At 41.5% G+C, this 19,098-nt stretch overlaps 1 protein-coding gene and 1 long non-coding RNA gene across 18 annotated transcripts in view; one reads left to right on the forward strand and one right to left on the reverse strand.

Annotated features, from left to right (window-relative positions):
* The window catches only part of LOC101928415 (uncharacterized), a 69,547-nt gene continuing 51,685 nt past the window's right edge, over nt 1,237-19,098 (forward strand). The window contains exons 1-2 of one of the 2 annotated variants that reach the window (XR_001755808.2): nt 1,237-1,704; nt 1,908-1,991. This is a non-coding gene — a long non-coding RNA (uncharacterized LOC101928415). Of the gene's footprint in view, nt 1,992-19,098 lie in introns of both variants that reach the window. The other variant, XR_001755805.2, reaches the window with a different exon arrangement.
* The window catches only part of ADGRG2 (adhesion G protein-coupled receptor G2), a 133,650-nt gene continuing 117,508 nt past the window's right edge, over nt 2,957-19,098 (reverse strand). For 13 of the 16 annotated variants that reach the window (XM_006724455.3, NM_001184835.2, NM_001184836.2 and 10 more), the window contains 7 exons: nt 18,408-18,529; nt 16,496-16,764; nt 13,511-13,610; nt 12,646-12,929; nt 9,701-9,802; nt 8,546-8,698; nt 2,957-4,698 (listed from right to left, as the gene is read on the reverse strand). In XM_006724455.3, the coding sequence (XP_006724518.1) occupies nt 4,514-4,698; nt 8,546-8,698; nt 9,701-9,802; nt 12,646-12,929; nt 13,511-13,610; nt 16,496-16,764; nt 18,408-18,529 (1,215 nt within the window). In that variant the 3' untranslated portion in view covers nt 2,957-4,513. The remainder of the gene's footprint in view (nt 4,699-8,545; nt 8,699-9,700; nt 9,803-12,645; nt 12,930-13,510; nt 13,611-16,495; nt 16,765-18,407; nt 18,530-19,098) is intronic. The other 3 variants (XM_047441758.1, XM_047441757.1, NM_001184834.2) reach the window with 1 other exon arrangement.

Here is a 19,098-nt window from a genome sequence, read left to right on the forward strand (position 1 = left end):
AATTCTGCTGTGCACATTTGCACCCCTTTTGGTGTATAGGCAATCTACATTCTTCGGCTTTGGTCTATGCGATTGCATAGCAATATATAAGCTATGTTCTTCAATAAGCTCAAAATTCTGGGATAAAACCAAGAAGGAAGGCTACTCCGTTTTAGCTTTTAAATTTTTAAAGCAAATTTTAGTGATTCATTTTGGACCAGAAAGCTGTACTATATAATAAATCAGTCTCACATTTTAGTATCCTCATATCCCTGAGGTGCAAAACCTCCATATCTTGGTCCCCATATCCATGAAGCCATTCTCTGGTTATCACCAATAGAAACTTGTCTCCAAGTCATTTCTCAAATATTTGTCAAGAATCAGATATAGTATAATGATAGGGAATGTTATTGTTTCTGAAGCTGATTCATGATCTCCATAAAAATGAAGACCCAGAACTGGACCCTGGGGTAGCACCATGTATGATTTTTCTGACCCCAGCCAGAGGATCTGCCATCATCCTGCCACAGAGACTTCAGCCCAGGTAGTTTCCAGAGAGCCCCATGTTAACATCCAAGGTGGAAACCAATAAATGTTTCTCTTGTAGGGTTCAGGTCTTTGGCTCTAAAGAAAATCACTCCATCTTTGACCCAGAAGGTCAATTCTGAATGAATTTGCTGAAAATGACCAATTCACCAAATTTAGTTATTTCTATGATAATTTAGTTGACTGGAAATCATTTTTTCGTTACATTTTAAAGAATGTTGAATTTGTCTCTGCTCCAGCTTCCTGTAGCTCGTTTGAGGCTAAGAGATAAAGAGAGGAAACACCAGGGAACATAAGATTTCTTCACAGTGAGGAATATATTTATTAAATATATTTAAAAGAATATATTCTAAAAGAACATATATTCCATTTTTGCCTGCTCTGACTTCTTGATGCTGTACCTGGAGACTAACATGAAAAGAAAGCAGTATATACTGGCCAGGCGCAGTGGCTCACACCTGTAATCCCAGCACTTTGGAAGGCTGAGGCTGGTGGATCACTTGAGGTCAGGAGTTCAAGACCAGCCTGGCCAATATGGTGAAACCCTATCTCTACAAAAAATACAAAAATTAGCTGGGCATGGTGGCAGGTGCCTGTAATCTCAGCTACTCGAGAGGCTGAGGCAGGAGAATTGCTTGAACCCAGGAAGTGGAGAGTGCAGTGAGCCAAGATTGCACCATTGCACTCCAGCCTGGGTGATAGAGCGAGACTCTGTCTCAAAAAAAAAAAAAAAAAAAGAAAAAAAAAGTATACACTGATAAGAATTCTTCAAATTGAAGATTATGTTCTTATGTCTACCCAGTCTTTCCTTTTTCCTTTCCTTCGGACTCCAACTAGAACAGCAAGGAGCAGAGACAAAGACAAACTAGTCCTTAAAATGCTGTTATGGAGACAAAATGACACCAAACAAGTCCACTCTGTGAATTGGTTATGCTGTAAATTAATCTTTGTCTAAATGGCCTTTGACAAACCGACTGACTCCTAGCTGACCTCCTTAGACATACCCAGTATCCCAAGTGAAGCTGTTTCATCGTTTTTTGTTTGTTTGTTTTAAAGACAGGAGGTCTTTCTGTGTTGCCCAGGATGGACTCCAATTTCCTGGCTCAAGCGATCCTCCTGCCTCCGCCTCCCAAGTAGCTGGGACTACAGGTGCTTGCCTGGCTTGCTTCACCATTTTCAGTAAGAACGATCATGATGCTGCTCACTGAAGTCAGCAGACTTCCTTTGTGGGGTTAATGACTGCAGTGTGTTTTGAGGAAAAACAAAACAAAACAAAAAAAAACTACTCCAATATTTTGAGGAAATACTTCTTTAAATACTGGCCTCTGCCCTGACACTCCTTGCCTCCTAATATTGGCACCACCTCTGTTTCCTTACAATAGAGTCTCAGAACATGGGATCAATCTTAGACCCAAAGGAGGATGCTTCTCAGAAACACTCTCTGTCCTGCCGTACGTCTGTCTAAAGTAAGAAAAATAGATGAGAGAATTCTGCTTAAGGACCACAGCACAGACACAGTAGGAAAAATAAGGGGGTGGGACCTAAAGGATACTGGACATTGTGCATCCTTTTATGTATATTTTGGTTATATAATCTGTTTTGGGGGATTGATTTCTGAGGTCTCACCCCTCTCCCAATCTAGAGGATCTCACATCTTCCTTTGAATTTAGTACTCGGCATCTTTGTGGGAGCTGAGGACCTTGAAGAAGAGATTGCTCAGAGACCTCTTACCAGGGTGAGGCCAGCTTCCCGTATTTGGGGATCCCACATGCTAACCAGCAATGCAGAAATCCCAAATCCTGTTCTCACTTTTCAGTAGTCCTACCTGTTTGACACTGAGGAAGCAGATACTTGGATGAGATCTGAATTGGGTCTTGTACATTGCCTACAGGCCAAAGGCAATGTGTTGAAGAGATAATCTTGAAAGAGTAATGGGAAAGGAGACCTCAGAAACTGATCTCATGAGGCAGAACAACCCTTGCTCTAATTTCATAGTCACAGGGTACCTGCTGATTTCCAAAAGATGTTACTGTTATGTTTGTCTTCTTAAGAGATGGTGTCTCGCTCTGTCGCCTAAGCTGGAGTGCAATGGCACAATCGTGGTTCACTGCAGCCCCAAACTTCCAGGCTCAAGCAGTCCTCCATCCTCAGCCTCCTGAGTAGCTAGGAGTACAGGCACACAACACTATGACTAACTAATTTTTAATTTTTTGTAGAGACAGGGGTCTCCCTGTGCTGCCCGGGCTGGTCTCCAACTCCTGCACTCAAGCAATCCACCTGCGTCAGCCTCCCAAAGTGCTGGGATTACAGGTGTGAGCCACCATGCCCAGCCAATTGTGTTTGTCTTAATCAGCATGTCCTACACCACTTCCATGCCAGGCCACCAGGGAAAGAGACTGCAGATGTTTTTTCTTTGTGAAAATTACCAAACTTAAAGATCTTAACTGCAAATTTATTTCATTGATTTTAACATTTTTGATTTTAACATATAAATACAAGAAAATTAAATAAATCAGAAAAGAAATATTGCAAAGACAAGTCAGCACTCACAGAAATGTGTATTATTACTATGGTTAGTCTGAGATCCAACATTCACTTGAAATATATGCAAGAGAACCTTAGTGAAAGACTTAACTAAAAGGGGTTTGAAATGTTCCTAATAAGGATGTACTTGAGGCACTGCTCAAGCAGATGTAGGTAGGAAGCAAGATAGACCCTGTATATAACTAGGAGCAATCAAGGCTCGATACATGTAGCAACAATAGCAGTGTAGGACAGTTCCCTGTTCCCAATAGCTACTCCCCTTGTCACTGTGCATTCTTCAAGACACATTTAAAAAACAATTATAGCTCTGGCTGGGCCAGAGTGTACCAGTCATAACAATCAACAATGTACCATGCAGTTGCCTTTTAAAGAACGGCAATATGATTTTTTTCCATATATATGTACCTTTTTAAGAGAAGGAATCCTAGTCTACTCTCCTGTTCCTAAAGGCTCTGGGGATTTGAGAAGCGGCAGTGTATGTACCTCATCTACGTTCACAATTTTCCTGACACATGGTCTGGATGACAGTTCATCCCTCTCTGTGGCCAAGGTATAAAGCTAAACATCTTGGTGCAGATTCTATAATCTGACTACTGGGGATGCGGTCAGGGGATGGGTATTCATATTGGATGCTGTGTTTGGCTGTACAGGTCGTGCACCCAAGAGGGTGAGTGGGGCTAAAATATGGTCTCTCCACTCTGTTTGTCAAACCATGAGCCCATAGGGCTGTGTCTGCCCAGTGGGGGCATCTTTTCCTAACTTGCTCAAAGGCACTGTATGAGCTAACTGTGGCACTGTCTGCTTACATTTTCTCAGTCTGGCTGGGATCATTATTTCTTGATTTCACTGAGGTTTCTGTATTTCACATCCTATATCATCTCCAAAAGGAGCTTTAGGATTTGCGGAACGAGCAAGGATTTTCTGAATTATCACGTGAGACAAAACAACCATGATTCTACAAAGGAATACATTTACACAGTAGAAAATAAATACAAAAAAATGTAGAAGTAAGATTTTTGACACATGGGTCACTAGAATTTAGCTTATATACAACAAAGGCATGCACAACTAAACTCACCAACAGGCTGAAGTCAACAGTTGCTTTATATGATGTTATCAAAGATAACTTAGCCTCTTTAAAAGGTAGCTGAAAGTTCACTACCTTTTTTTGTTTTCTTTATAGGAGTCATTCTTAGTGTATTGTTTAAAACCAACCTTCTTATAAAATGAAAGATAAGAAACCAAATCAGAAATGTCTAAAAACCATGGTGTAATGTCTTGGTTTCTTCTTGTAATAATAATCATCGCCCTTAATTAGCTTATGCTTCTCCAGATGTTGCCGAGAATAAAATGAGTTGATTTTCATACATCTCACATTGTGTAAAAGGTAAAATTGGACATTTCACACTGTCAAGCATCATGCTTTGATTTTAGAAGAAAGGAATCACATTTGCTCAATAAAGTGTAAGCTTCCCCGCTTTGAAGTCCTTCTGAGAGCCATACGGCCTTTCCCATTGCAGGAATCTTCCTTCTCGTTAAACATGTGCTGTTTTCCAGTGAAATCGTGAAGGCACACATCTCCATTCTGAACACTAAAAGAGACCCCATTCCTCTCTGTAGAAGCATTTCCTGTATAAGGAAACACAAAGCGGGTGGCATGAAGTATCCACAGAAAGCATTAAAAAGCAAACAAACTTAGACATTGCTTTATTCTTAAAGATGTATTTGTAAAATATGTTTTTAAAAACATTTGTGATATATGTTCATATTTTATTTATTTTTCATTACTTCCCTAAGGCCACTCAAAGTAAGCATACCAAAGTGGAGATTGCTTCAGAAACCAGTTCTCTATGGCAGTTTTTTTTTTGTTTGGTTTTTAATGAAACAGTCAAAATCTGAAGCAAGGTAATATATTAATAAAAGGCCCACTTCCTAACTCTGGTTGGATATGTTTTGACTTCAAGTAGCAGCATATGTATAATATAAGCTAAGGTAATACTTTGGTCTCCCAAAAGGTTAATGTTAACAGAGATCCCCATATGTACCCTTAGGAAGTTCTTGGTTCCCTAGGTTCCTATAAAATGAAACTTTGTACCAGAGAAACCAGAGCAACCAGCTACAACAGTCATGGCAAGAAGAAATCATCTCTCTTGTAGATTAAACCAGCTCCTCTGACTAAATCAGGACAGGACAAATTCCCAAGAGGAAACTACCAATTCCAACTTCAGAGTCCAGGCCAGGGAGCAGCTGGGCACTCAAGGGTAACTGTTGGTTTGGACGTGGGCCTTCCCCACCCCAAGCAGGCCCTGAGTTATAGGGGAGCACAGGTGCTGGCCTCCTCTAGTTACTTGGCACCATCCTTCTGATCATTAGACCATTGGGAGACTATACACAAAGCTGAATAATAAGCCCATTTGATAGTTCATGACATGATTATGATAACAATGATCATAACAGTACTGGGACACTTTATTATCTCATTTAGAGCCCTGCAGGGTGGGTACTACTGTTATCCCCATTTTGCAGATGAGGAAACGAAGGTTTCAGAAATTAAGTGCTCTCCCCAAGGTCACACAGCTCAGAAGTAATGGAGTTGACGTGTGATGTTGCTTCCAAACTGTGATCCTTGTGGTCCTGGGTACCAAATGAGATGGCTGCTGGTACCCCACCCTCTAAGGCAGCTCAGAACTGAACTGTGTAATATTCATGCAAACTAGGTGATGAATATGGTTAACGTAGCTCCATCTGTGACACAGATCAAATAGGGCATGTGACTGTCTGAGGCAGCTGTTTGGATTTAGGCATTTCGGCTTGAGGACATTTTGGTGCAAGAACAATTTGGTCTGGCATAATAAATCATTAAACTTCTAGCTTTTTTTGTTGTTGTTGAGACGGAGTCTCGTTCTGTCGCCCATGCTGGAGTGCAGTGGTGAGATCTAGGCTCACTGCAACTTCTGTCTCCTGGGTTCAAGCGATTCTCCTGCCTCAGCTTCCTGAGTAGCTGGGACTACAGGTGTGTGCCACCACGTCTGGTTGATTTTCACATTTTTTATTAGAGATGGAGTTTTTCCATGTTGGCCAGGCTGGTCTTGAACTCCTGACCTCAGGTGATCCTCCTAACTTAGCCTCCCAAAGTGCTGGGATTACAGGTGTGAGCCACTGCGCCCAGCCCTAGCTTTCTTTTTTGAAATTGCCAATTCCATTCCTCATCTATCCCAGATGCTGGGGCAAGGACTGAGGAGTCAGGAATGGTTATCTGACATGCATATTATGTGATATTAAACACTGAGCCATTTTGGCAGCCTTAAAATGTACCCCCATCCTCACCGTCAAGCATCAAAAGTAGCTGTGTCAAATCAGCTGTGTTAAACAACTGTGGTAAAATGTGCTGTTTCCATGAAATCTGATTTCCCAAAGGATGACAACATGTTGATAGAGCTAGGCAGGTGAGGCTTCATCTCTGAGCTCTTTCGAGAATATGGACAAATCTGGTTTATGGATTCAGAGCCCCAGATGACCCTGCTCGCTCCTTTGATGTCTCTCCTTTCAATTTGCTTTCTCACACTAACGTACTAACCAGCTGTGCTCCCCGCTGCCTCGCCTCTGTTTACCTACATTGAATCATTCCTGATAGAGCTATTTGGTGTAGAGCCCAGAGCTTGCTTTCTGGTATCGACAGTAAAGAGCTAAGGCTATACAACAGTTATTTCTCATCTTTTACAGCAGTGATTCTCAACTGGGGGCAATCTTGCTCCCTTCTTCTCCCCGCTCCCCTGGGACAGTTGGCAGTGTCTGGGGACATTTTGGGTTGTCATAACTGGGGGCAGGGTGCTACTGGCTCTAGTTGATAGAGTCCAGGGATCCTGCTAAATGTCCTGCAATTCCACAAAAAAGAATTATCCAGCCCCAAAATGTCAATTGTGCTTGAAGTTGAGAAACCTTGATTTTGAGGCATCCTATGGTATTTTAAAAGCCTAGACAGGCCGGGCACAGTGGCTCACACCTGTAATCCCAGCACTTTGGGAGGCTGAGGCGGGAGGATCACTTGAGCCCAGGAGTTTGAGACCAACCTGGACAACACAGCAAGACTGCATCTTAAAAAAAAAAAAAAATTAGCCAGCCATGGTGGCATGCTCCTACAGTCCCAGCTACTCGGGTGGCTGAGGTGGGAGGATCACTTGAGCCTGGGAGGTCGAGGCTGCAGTGAACCGTGATCATACCACTGAACTCCAGCCTGGGCAATAGGAGACCTTGTCATAAAAAAAAAGAAAAAAAAAAAAAAAAGTCTAGACACACCAGCAGGACTGCCCATCTTCAGGAAACGGGAAAACTGGTAGATGTATGAACCTTCTCACAAATTTATTTGAGTTAGTCATGAAAAGAACTAACATCCTAAAACAATGAATACAGGCAAATTCTCCATGGAAGGAGAAACTATACCAGCAGAGCTTATGTTTTTATAAGAATGCAAAAGATATATTAAGAAGCAAGAGAAGGTAAAAATAGATAAGGTAAGCTTTTATGAGTAATGAACAGCCTGGTCTTATGAAAGAAAGAAAATGTAACAGAAGTTTTAGCTAGAAATGTCAGAATTAATGAGTAAAGGAGGCATGGCAGCAATAATCTGTTCAGATATTGGTCACATATATGGTCACCAATACTGGTCACAAGTCATCTTCCAGTATTTTGACATATTCATGGGGATTTGGGTGCTGTCACAAGACAGCCACATTGTGGGAAAGAATTAACAAACATGAAAAGCAAAAAATAGGAAGGTTTAAAAGTGTTGGCTGGGCGCGGTGGCTCACACCTGTAATCCCAGCACTTTGGGAGGCCGAGGTGGGCAAATCACTTGTGGTCAGGAGCTCGAGACTAGCCTGGCCAACATGGTGAAACCTGTCTCTACTAAAAATACAAAAATTAGCTGGGCATCGTGGCGGTCACCTGTAGGTCACCTGTAATTCCAGCTACTCGGGAGGCTGAGGCAGAATTGCTGGAACCCAGGAGGTGGAGGTTGCAGTGAGCTGAGATTGCACCATTGCACTCCAGCCTGGGCAACAAGAGTGAGACTCCATCTCAAAAAAAAAAAATGTTGAACATGTATATTATGATAGATGTAATAAAAATTGCTATAGTCTTATCAGCTATTTTAGGTACTGCTCTCACAGAAATAGCACAATACTGAAGTCTTTGGACAATAGTTAAGTGAGGATTTAAAATGTTAAAATTTTTAGGTCATCATCAATTCCCACTATGAAAAACCAAATCTTAAAAAATCGTTGTTCCAGTATTTGCTCTATAATAAATCAATTTGGATTAGTAAACTTTCTCTTCTGTAAGGGAACCACATTTTGATCCACTAGTCATATATGTATTAATAGTTACTCACTTTGCTTAGCCAAAATGCCAATAAAGGATAAAACTATTTTAAAAAATAAACACTAGCTTGAGAAATACTATATTGAGACATACATACCATTCCCGCTTGCGTGTACTGAGCAATCATTATTCACTAGCAGTGTGGTGGAGTTAGTGGAGTTACTGCTTGACTGTAAGGAATTTGAAGAGCTGGACACTCCTTGGTTTACAGTCTGCTTCTTTAAACCATTAGTAGCAGTTTTACTCCAGTCTACAGCAGAATAAGCATTACAGAAAAACAGGGCAGTATGTTGAAGCTCAAACGCAAGAGACAGATCACAGTGTAACAAGTCCTAAGCAACTGATTTCTCACTTCAGGATCTTATGGAGAAGTCACCTTCCACCAGTTGGTGTGATAACATGTATTTTCATTTGGATTATTTACATTTGTCCTTCAAATGACTGTGGGGTTAAAAGTAACCTATATTCTCCTAGAACTAAAGGCCAAGCTAATTTGATTATGTCTATAAATATCCATAGAATTAGGTAGTGATTCAGAGCCTCACACTGTCTTAACAAGAACACAAATAGTCTGTGTTGTAATGACTAATTGTTCTTCACTCCATGAAAATGATTGAACTATGTGTACTGCCATTTTCTGAATACAGACTCCCGTGTCGCCCAGATACTGCAAAGGTGGTATTCATGCAAAAGGAATGTAGCTTTTCAAACAGTACTTCATTTTTCTCATTTTCTTAAAAAAAAAAAATGAGCTATTTGCTCTACTACCCAACCGGGTATATGTGAAAATCACTTCAAAATAAACAAATGTATGTTACAACCAAATGTATGCTAAAGCTTATACACAAAGTCTGGCTTACTAACAAATAAAGCAACTGACAACCAGGACCTGTGGAGAAAGGATTGAGTTGAGATTTTAAAAATTACCAAGGTAAATATTAAAAATTACTTTGGGAAATGAAAAGCATAATCTCAATAGAAAATCAATTCTAAAAATTTTACTGTTGCTTCATTGAAGAGGCAGCCAGCCCATCAATTTTATTGCTCAAAAAATTCCCAGATAGAAATAATTATTTTTTAATTCACTAGATTTTTTTTTCTCCCTAATGTTCACGATCAATATTTTCTGTTGAGCAAATTCCAGATTTGCTGGAATTCACTGATTTCTAGATTGGATTTGCTTTGGATCTTAATTTATACAATCTTTTCCTTGAGATTTAAGAGGAAGAGAAAAAGTGAGGTAAATCTTTACCAGAATTTTCAGCCAGCCGTAACTTTCCACAACAAAGATACCGCCTCCATTGCTTCCTGACATTTTCTTTGGCCACACAGTAAAAGATGAATATGAAAAATCCTAAGGAGGGAAAAAAAACCCACAATGAATTCCAAGCTAATAGCTGAATGTCATAAGCTCACTTTGCACAAAAGATATTAATAATTATTTTGGCAGCTGTGGGCAACATGAAATTTTGCAAATTGAATAAAAAGTTCAGAGTCCTAGGAAAGCTTGCTGTCAAAAGGCATCGGGGAATGAATGCCTTTAGAAAATCTTTGTAAGATTAAGAATATTTATATGATAAAAGGAATCATAACTTTGCATTTCCACAATTAAATTCACTGTCTCCTCCCACATCCTGTCCTTGGCCTTCCGTATCTTGGAATTACAAGCCATCCACCCAGGATCCCAGCTTGGACTTAGGCTCCTGCCTCTCCCTCCCTCCCTATTTAGAATCCGTTTCCAAGCTCTGTCAAATGCCATCTCCTCCACACATCTTTCCCTTCCCACTCTCCTCCTCTCCAGCCCACTGCCATGTCCTTTGCTTGGATCTCTCTCTCCCCCTCAAACCCAGGCAGTACAGCAATGCACTCACCTACCTGCCTGCCTCCTCCTGACCTGCCCCAGGTGCTGGCATGGAGAGCAAGCTGAAGACCTGAAGGGGCCCTGGGACTCCACCTCTCACCCACTCAGGTGCCCAGTCAAGGCAGGCCAGGGCTCCCCAGCCAGCCCCATGGCTGCCACTCCCCAAGGCTTTTGCCAATAAATATTTGCTGAGTGAATGGATGAATTCTGGGTTCTCTGCTTTCTACTTAAAAACCCCCAATCTATTCACTTTAAAACCTTCATTTTAAGATACCAGGGGCCAGGCGTGGTGGTGGCTCACGCCTGTAATCTCAGCACTTTAGGAGGGTGAAGTGGGAGGATCACTTGAACCCGGGAGGCGGAGGTTGCAGTGAGCCGAGATCGCTCCACTGCACTCCAGCCTGGGTGACAGAGCGAGACTCCATCTCAAAAAACAAACAAACAAAACAGTTTTGCTTCTAGTAGGGTATATGTGCCCACCGTCAAGACCCATGTCTGAATATTACACAGCTTCATTCATTTGTCACCCTGGAAGTCGACCATTGGTTGCATTAGGAGAGAAACAGCATGTATAAGAGAGGCCAAAATCAGAAGATATATATATATTCAACCACCCCAAAAGCCCTGTGCATTAGGGTTAGTTTCCTTGTATAGATGAAACAATACATTCATTCCTTTTATCCATTCATATTCTAATGAGAAGATAATCTGGGGAAATGAAGAAAAAGGCAGATTCAGTTTCCACATTAAACATGTGAGGGTGGGTACCTTGCTTTCATGTCAATGATTAGTGTAATGTGGGCATATATATATGTTTTTTCTTTTAAAGTATCTATTACTTTCAGTATTGCCGTGGTTGGCAAATAAAACTTTTCTTAAGACCCTTAAAAAGAATTTGCTCATGTTTTTGGTTTTGTATGTAATACCATGCGGTGTAACACCTGGATATACCAATTGAGGAACCGCTATATTATAAGTAAAAATTAATAACCATATATAACCAAACAAGCATCTCTGCTGGCTTCCTCCAAATTAAAATAAGAACCAACAACCAAATTCGGCATTTGAATTTAACCTCAGGTTGGGATTTCTCTGAAAACCAACAAGATGATCTATTGCCTGATAGAACTAGAGAAGGACAATATGGGAGCAAAAGCAACAGGAAAGATGAACAAAAGCCAATGAGAAGGCAATTAAAAGGCATCCCCAAAAGAGGATTCAGAATAAAAGGAAACTAAGGGACAGTGAATTATTGTTATTGTAATGTAAACCTAATAGCCTGCTGGGCTTTTAATGCCAAAGCACTTCCATTAAAAATTAACAGCAGACACGTCTTTCATAACACTGCTCTAAAAGAATTAGTCATTTTCCTTTCTAAAGAGTACAACTATCAGGGTTCCAAGATGCATGGGCTTCATTAACCAATGGGAAACCTAAAGCAGATGGCGACACACAGAGCCTGCTCTCTTTCCCGCTGAGTGTCCCAGGGCAGCAACTTCTTGGGATTAGCCTTCAAGTAAGACTGCTGCCACTTGGGTCTGTCTGTTGCCTTCCCATTTCTCATTGTCTCCAAATCGCTGACCTAGGAGGGGAGAGTGGTGAGCTCCCACAGGCACAGTCATGGTATGTGTGCTTACAGTCTGCATGTTCTACTTGAATACAAAAGTTTTTTTTTTTAAAAGAAACCAAGTGAAGGAAGAATAATTGACTTTTTCAAAAAGTGTTCCTGGCAGGTTCCCCTCAATATGGTCTCTCCAAGGAGACAACTATGAATAAGGAGAAAAAAACACCATTTCTTGAATTTAGTAAGCACCTTTCCTCCAAGGATCTCAAAGCACTCCCTCTCAATAATAAATATGTTTTTCAATGAAAATATCATAAGCCACTAAATAAGCTACTTTGCATATACAAGCATACCTCATGGGGTTTCACAGATAGTACTTTTTTTTTTTTTTTTTTTTTTTTACAAATTGAAGGTTGTGGCAGCCCTGCGTCCAGCAAGTCTCTCAAGGCCATTTTTCCAACAGCATGTACTCACCTTGTGTCTCTGTATCAGCAGTTTTTAGCAATAAAATATTTTTAAGTTAAAGTATGTACATTTGTTTAGACATCATGCAATTGCACACTTAATAGACTATAGTCTAGTGTAAACACAACTTTTATATGCACTGGGAAACAACAATTTGTGTGACTCACTTTATTGCAATATTTGCTTTATTGTAGTGGTCTAGAACCAAACCCCCAACATCTCTGAGGCATGCCTGTACTCTTTTAGTAGCTACATTTTTATATTCAACTGGGATCATTCAGTTTGTATTTGATGCTGTAAAGCTTACCTTGTAAGGTATTAAAGATGGCAAACAGATACATGAAGGTCACGTTAACTGGTCCCCAGGCAAAGAAGGCAAAGCCCCAAGTTATTCCCAGTAAAAATGTAAGGCCAGCGATACTCCTGAGGTCTTGAATACTGGTTTTTCGCTGGGCTCCCAGTTGCTTCTTCTTTTTAATTCGACAGAGCTGAACCAGGACCACAATGAACATGCTGACGTTCAGCAAAAATATCACACAGAAATATCCCACCACCGTAATGTAGAATACTGCATTGTTGTTGATCCAGCAGCTGGAGTTTGTGGAGGGGGGGAAACAGGGGAAAACATATTATAGTAATGAACTAGAGTTCAAAATGATACAATGAATCTCTAACATTTTACTGAAACATTTTCTACCAGTACAAGAGAAAAAAAATGATAAAACTGCTATTCTCTACAACCATTTATAGCTCTAGGGAAAATAATCTAAGAGTTTATTTGAGGACACTTGGTGATTTAAAGTATTTTAAAAATAGACCTTTTTTTAAACATTCAGGATTTTGCCCCTGTAAATCCTAGCAACTCTGTTCTATGAGTCTTTATTAATATAACTGGAATGTCATTTTATCAGAGGCTAATGAAAATATTTTCAAAATAGTTCTTCCTAATTCATTTTTCTTTTCAGAATAGCTCCTAATTCATCACTTGAAGAGTAGCATGGCATTTCCAGCTAGCTTCTCTCATTACATATGACTGTGAAGGCTGCTGTGAAGTATTGCTGGGTTTTATTAGGATGATAGCAGGAGTCAATATGCTGATTAGATCCTCCGTTTTCTAGGAGCATTCCGTTTTCCAGTTCACTTAGCATTCCCTTAGGGGGCTTTGTACTCACAAGTCATCCGGTGAACCATTGGGGAATTTCCCATAGGATCCAAGCCCATAGTTATCTGGGGATATAGTCAGGATGATGGTCACAACCACAGCTGGTACCCCTGGAAGATGGGAAACATTGGTCACACCTAATTTTTTTTTTTTTTTTTTTTGAGACGGATTCTTGCTCTGTCACCCAGGCTGGAGTGCAGTGGTGCGATCTCGGCTCACTGCAACCTCCGCCTCCTGGGTTCAAGTGATTCTCCTGCCTCAGCCTCCCTAGTAGCTGGGATTACAGGCGCGTGCCACCATGCCTGGCTAATTTTTGTTTTGTATTTTTCGTAGAGACGGGGTTTCACCATGTTAGCCAGGATGGTCTCGATCTCCTGACCTCGTGATCTGCCCGCCTCGGTCTCCCAAAGTGCTGGGATTGCAGGCGTGAGCCACCGCACCCGGCTGGTCACACCTAGTTCTAATAACCAAAGTGGGTGACAAGACTAGAGATCACATCCTATTTACATCTTGTAGCAGAGACTGGCTAGCTGTTCACCAGGCTGGTTTCTTTTCCTCTTTGGCACATGACTGGATGCTCCCAGCCTCCCAGGCAGCTGGGTGTGTGTGGCCACATGGCTCACTTTGGGCCCATGGGATACGGGCACAAGTGATTTGCTCCACTTCCAGGCCTGCCCCATAGAAACCTCCTGTGAGATCCTCTACTTTCTTTTTGCCTGCAAACTTAGGGCAACCTTGAGGCAGAGTCTTCAATAGCTTGGATCCCTGAATAACTGCAAGACCAGGGACTCCTCTGCCCCTGCTAACTAGACTGTAGGTGAGTGAGAAATGATCTTCTACTGAGATTTCAAGGTGAATCTGTTACAGCTGCCAGTGTTGCCTTTAACTCCCCACCCCCCACCCGGCCCCCCTCTGTCACCCAGGCTAGAGTGCAGTGGCACAATCTCGGCTCACTGCAACCTCCGCCTCCGCCTCCCGGGTTCAAGCGATTCTTGTGCCTCAGCCTCCCAAGTAGCTGGGATTACAGGTGTGCACCACCACACCTGGCTAATTTTTGTATTTTTAGTAGAGACGGGGTTTCACCATGTTGGCTAGGCTGGTCTCGAACTCCTGACCTCAGGTGATCCGCCCACCTCGGCCTCCCAAAGTGCTGGGATTACAGGCATGAGCCACTGCACCCAGCGTTGTGCCTTTAACTTATACATGTCTGGAATGTATATTTAAGAGTCAGCAACTCCTGGCAAATCTTTCATTATGAAACCAAAAGTCCTCAATTTGAAGACTTTGAGACCCAGTGAAGGATGGAGGGTTCTGTCCTGGCTGATCCAGGGGGTGGTGACTGCTACTATGCTGGCTCTGTTGAGAGCCCACGGACACTTCCCTTCAGAGAAGGTACCATGAGAAGGGTCCCCCAAGTTTAAAATGGCTTTTGGTGGGGAAAGAATCCTATTCACCACTGCACACCATCACCCGCCAGCCCCATGCCACCGCCCCACACTCTGCACACTGACCAGCAGACGTCCTATCTCAAGGCTCTGGTAAAGAACAAACAATTCCTTGTCACAGACCAGTTGCAGTGCCTGGTAAAATCAAATCTAATAGTTCATTTAATGCCTTTGCGCTTGTACCTTCTGGTGACCCTGACATATGATAATTTTCTAAGTGAGACACTTTGTTAAAAATAAAACATTGGGGGTGGGGGCCTCATACTTAAGAAAGGAATCTGACTTTCAGCCTTCTCTAAAGAAGACAGAATCCGTGCCCAGTATCTGGAGCGTTGACTTATGTTTCTGGGACAAACAGGGAAAGGGTGTTGTTCTGTTGTTCTTCACAAAGACATAGTGACATAAGATAGAAGGCAGGGTGGCAAGGGTGGTGGTGTGCTTTCAATCTTGATGTGTAGGAATATTTAGCCTGAAAATAGAGGCAGTCTGGTTGGGGGGATGGCAGAAGGCTGCATATAAGGAGACGGAGAGCCAGGCTTGCTGTTTTCTAGCTTTGTGAATTGGGGGGATATCACATCATCACTTGGAGCCAGTTTCTTCACCTACATTTGGGATGACTGCCTGGCTCACCTCACTGGCTTATCTTGCATGGGGTCACTTGTGTGAAAAACAGGGGATTATACACACTGTTATATATTACTTGTAGATTATCTAAAGGACTCTCTGGCAGAAGAGGTATCAACTTACTGTTTTCTGCCTGAGCAAAACCACTGGTAAGTGCCACCAGGGAGCCAACTGAACTTAATGGAAAATCAGAACTGTAGAGCTTTATAAAATGGTTATTGGCTGCCTTGTAAGGTCATGAACTCCCCAGTAATAGAAGTATTCAAGCAGAAGTTAGATTATCTTTAGTCAAGGATAAGTCAGGTGGAGTTGAGGGTTGAAGAGGCTCCTGCATTGGGTGGGAAATTGAATGAAGAAATCTTCAACATATTTGGGGAGCCTAAGGCCTTGCGACCTGCCACCAATAGGCTGCACAATCTGAAATGTCATGCCCACGTGGCAGTGAAGTTACAATGGGTTTTATATGTACATTCTCTCACTCTGCCCTTCTTAGCATACTGTCATACGTGTCTGATATCTGGGAGGTACAAAGTAGAATGAGGCTGGCTGGGAGCTCAGGGACTGAGAGTTTGGGCTCTTTACCACCAAGCTAATGTTTTCAATATATTACCACCCCAAGCTAATGTTTTCAATATATTGAGCACCTTCTGTGCCAGCCCCAAATTCTAGTTCCTGGAGATACAAAGAGGATTCATGGTTCAACCTTGAGGAATTCCATATTCATAACAAATCCAAAGAAATAAACAGGTGTCCTAGAAGGAGACTTGACAAAGTTGCTCTTCGGGCAGTGCACATGTAAGAGTATAAAGCTGTTTTAGAAACTTGCTGAATGTGATCTGCTTCATCGTTTCCACCTGCTCAAAAATCAAAACACTAGAGAAAAGGCAGAGAAAGTCCAGGCAACATGCAGGCAAGCTTATACATACCCCAACCGACAATGCAGAATTTAAGGATGTATTTTCGGATGTAAGTATTAAATACTTTGACAAGGGCCAGGTACATATGGAATGCTTCTAGGCCCATCCATGTGAATGAGACCAAGAGAAAATAATGAAGAAATACAGCCACTGAGATGCAGAGGCCTTGCATCTTATACAGAGCAATCCACGAGTCCAGGAGGAAGACCAGGTTCAGCAGAAGCAGAGCAGCACACAGCTGGATGAGGATTTTGGAAGGGTAATCCCTCCGGATCTTTCTAAAAGGAAAGGATGAGAACAAGAATGAGCATTCTACTCTGCCAACCCTCCAACTTTTTTTTGGTTTAAGATAAGGTCTGGCTCTGTCACCCAGGCTGGAGTGCAGTAGCGTGATCTCAGGTCACTGCAACCTCTGCCTCCTGGGCTCAAGCGATCTTCCCACCTCAGTCTCCTGAGTGGCTGGGACTACAGGCGCTCTCTACCACACCCTTATTTTTTTTGTAGAGACACGGTTTCGCCATGTTGCCTAGGCTGGCCTCAAACTCCTGGGCTCAAGCAATCCTGCTGCCCTGGCTTCCCAAAGTGTTGGGATTACAGGCATGAGTTACCACACCTAGCACCAACCCTTATGTAAGCATATCTGTCAGGCTCTTTGAGTTTTAAGCAATTTATTTTTATTCTTTGGTAAATGTCTATATGCATAAATTTCCTCTGTTTGAGTATATGTGTATATGGGGTGGGGGGGAGCTTAAAACCAACAACAACAAAGGAAAAATCTAAACAGAATCATCTGTGATAACCATAAGGAGAATTTGTGTCTGTATTTCTGTGGGACCTTTTACATGCTGACTGTTGACGCATACTTTTAAATAGTTTGTAGTAGACTCTACTAAGCACTCGCCCTATTTCTCCCAGACTACTTTCGGAAGCATTGGTGCTGCTTCTCATGGAGTCTGCTATATTCAGATCTTCAAAATTTAACCAAGATTCCCATATTATTGTATGTTATTAGGTAAAATGAGATCATGGAAAGAAGAGTTTAAACTACAGCTAAATGTAATAGCATAGGAGAAGCCAGCTAATTGATGACATGTTCATGTTTATGCATGCAAAATTAGATCCGATGAAATCATTCTGAGTAATGGCTGGCCTTCTGGTTATTTAGTCTCACTAATAATATTTCCAAAGGCTCACTAGAAGATCCGTAGTCACAGCTAGACCCTAACTTTGGCACTGAAAATAAATTTTTACATTTCCTGATCAGTGTCCAAAATCTAAATCCAAGAACCTACATATTGTTTCGATTCGTTAATGCAATAAAAATGCCCATGTCCTTCTTTTCCATTAGAATTTGTTGGAATTACCCCCAAAAAGCAACCAAAGGGACCTGTCTGGTAAGCCAAGAAGGAAAGGCTGTTTTTTAGAATGGCATTCTTGCTGCAGAGCTACACTCACTGAATATCTATTTTTTTCAGTAAAGCTTTTACATCCTTATTTCTCTCCATCCCCACACCAGTTAATGTATTTAATCTTTTGTGTTTGCTCAGTATAATTTAGAAATGTAATTTATTAAACATAGTTCTTATGCTGTACATGGTGCTGTGGTCTATTTCAGATGGTAAGTCTCTGGGTTTTGGGGCCTGCATCCCTCATTCATTTCACACTTTATGTCTATCAGGTACTGGGTGTCATTCTGGGGCACCAAGATGATTCTGACACAACCCCTGCCTTCAGGGAGTCCACAGACTAGTGTGAGGACACAAGCATATAAACCAACAAGTCCCATAAAGTTGATACATGGATGCTCCACTAGCTGGGTGTACAGGGTAAGGCAGGCCGAGGAAAGGGCTTAGTTAATAAATGTTGGCAATGGAGGTGAGTGCTGAGTCCTAAATCCAAATTTCCGGTTGTGGATACTCACTCAAAAGCTATGTAGGTTACAAGAGTCACTGACAGAAAAATTGATGAAAGCCCACAACCAATATATGTAATGAACGTCAGAGCCATCATTTGAGCAGGCAGCACAGATGTCCTAGATAGGTCCTGGAAAATGAAATATTGCTTTTAATAATCAAATATTTTTAAATAAATACAAGACTTATGATGTATCAAGTATTCTAGGGATCCATTCATAGTCTATTCAACAAACCTATGAGGTAGGCACAATTATTACTATCAGGTAAAGATAAGGAAACAGAGACAGACACAGAGAGGTTAAGTAACTTGCTCAAGGACACACAGATAGAAAGTGGAGAAGCCAAGATTCAAATTCAGGTCTGGCACACTCCAAAGCCCACATACTTGATCACTGCATTATAGTGCAATGGAAAGGAACTGGACTAGGAGCCTAAAGACTGCAATTTAGCTCCTGCCTCTTACATTTCTTAGTTCTATGACTGTGGGCAACTATCTAACAAGAGAGTCTTAATTCTGATTTTAATAAAATGACAATAGCAACTCCCCATTCTACCTATCTTGCAGGACTGTTGGGATGATTAAATAAGAGCATTTATGTCAAAGTGTTTTGTAAAAATCTTAAAGTGCATTGCAAACTAAACAATTTTTATTACTCATCCTAATCTGAATTCCTTAGTTCTCTTAATTATTTAAAA

The sequence above is a fragment of the Homo sapiens genome, chromosome X (assembly GCF_000001405.40).
Source record: "Homo sapiens chromosome X, GRCh38.p14 Primary Assembly".
In the NCBI taxonomy this organism is placed as follows: Eukaryota; Metazoa; Chordata; class Mammalia; order Primates; family Hominidae; genus Homo; species Homo sapiens.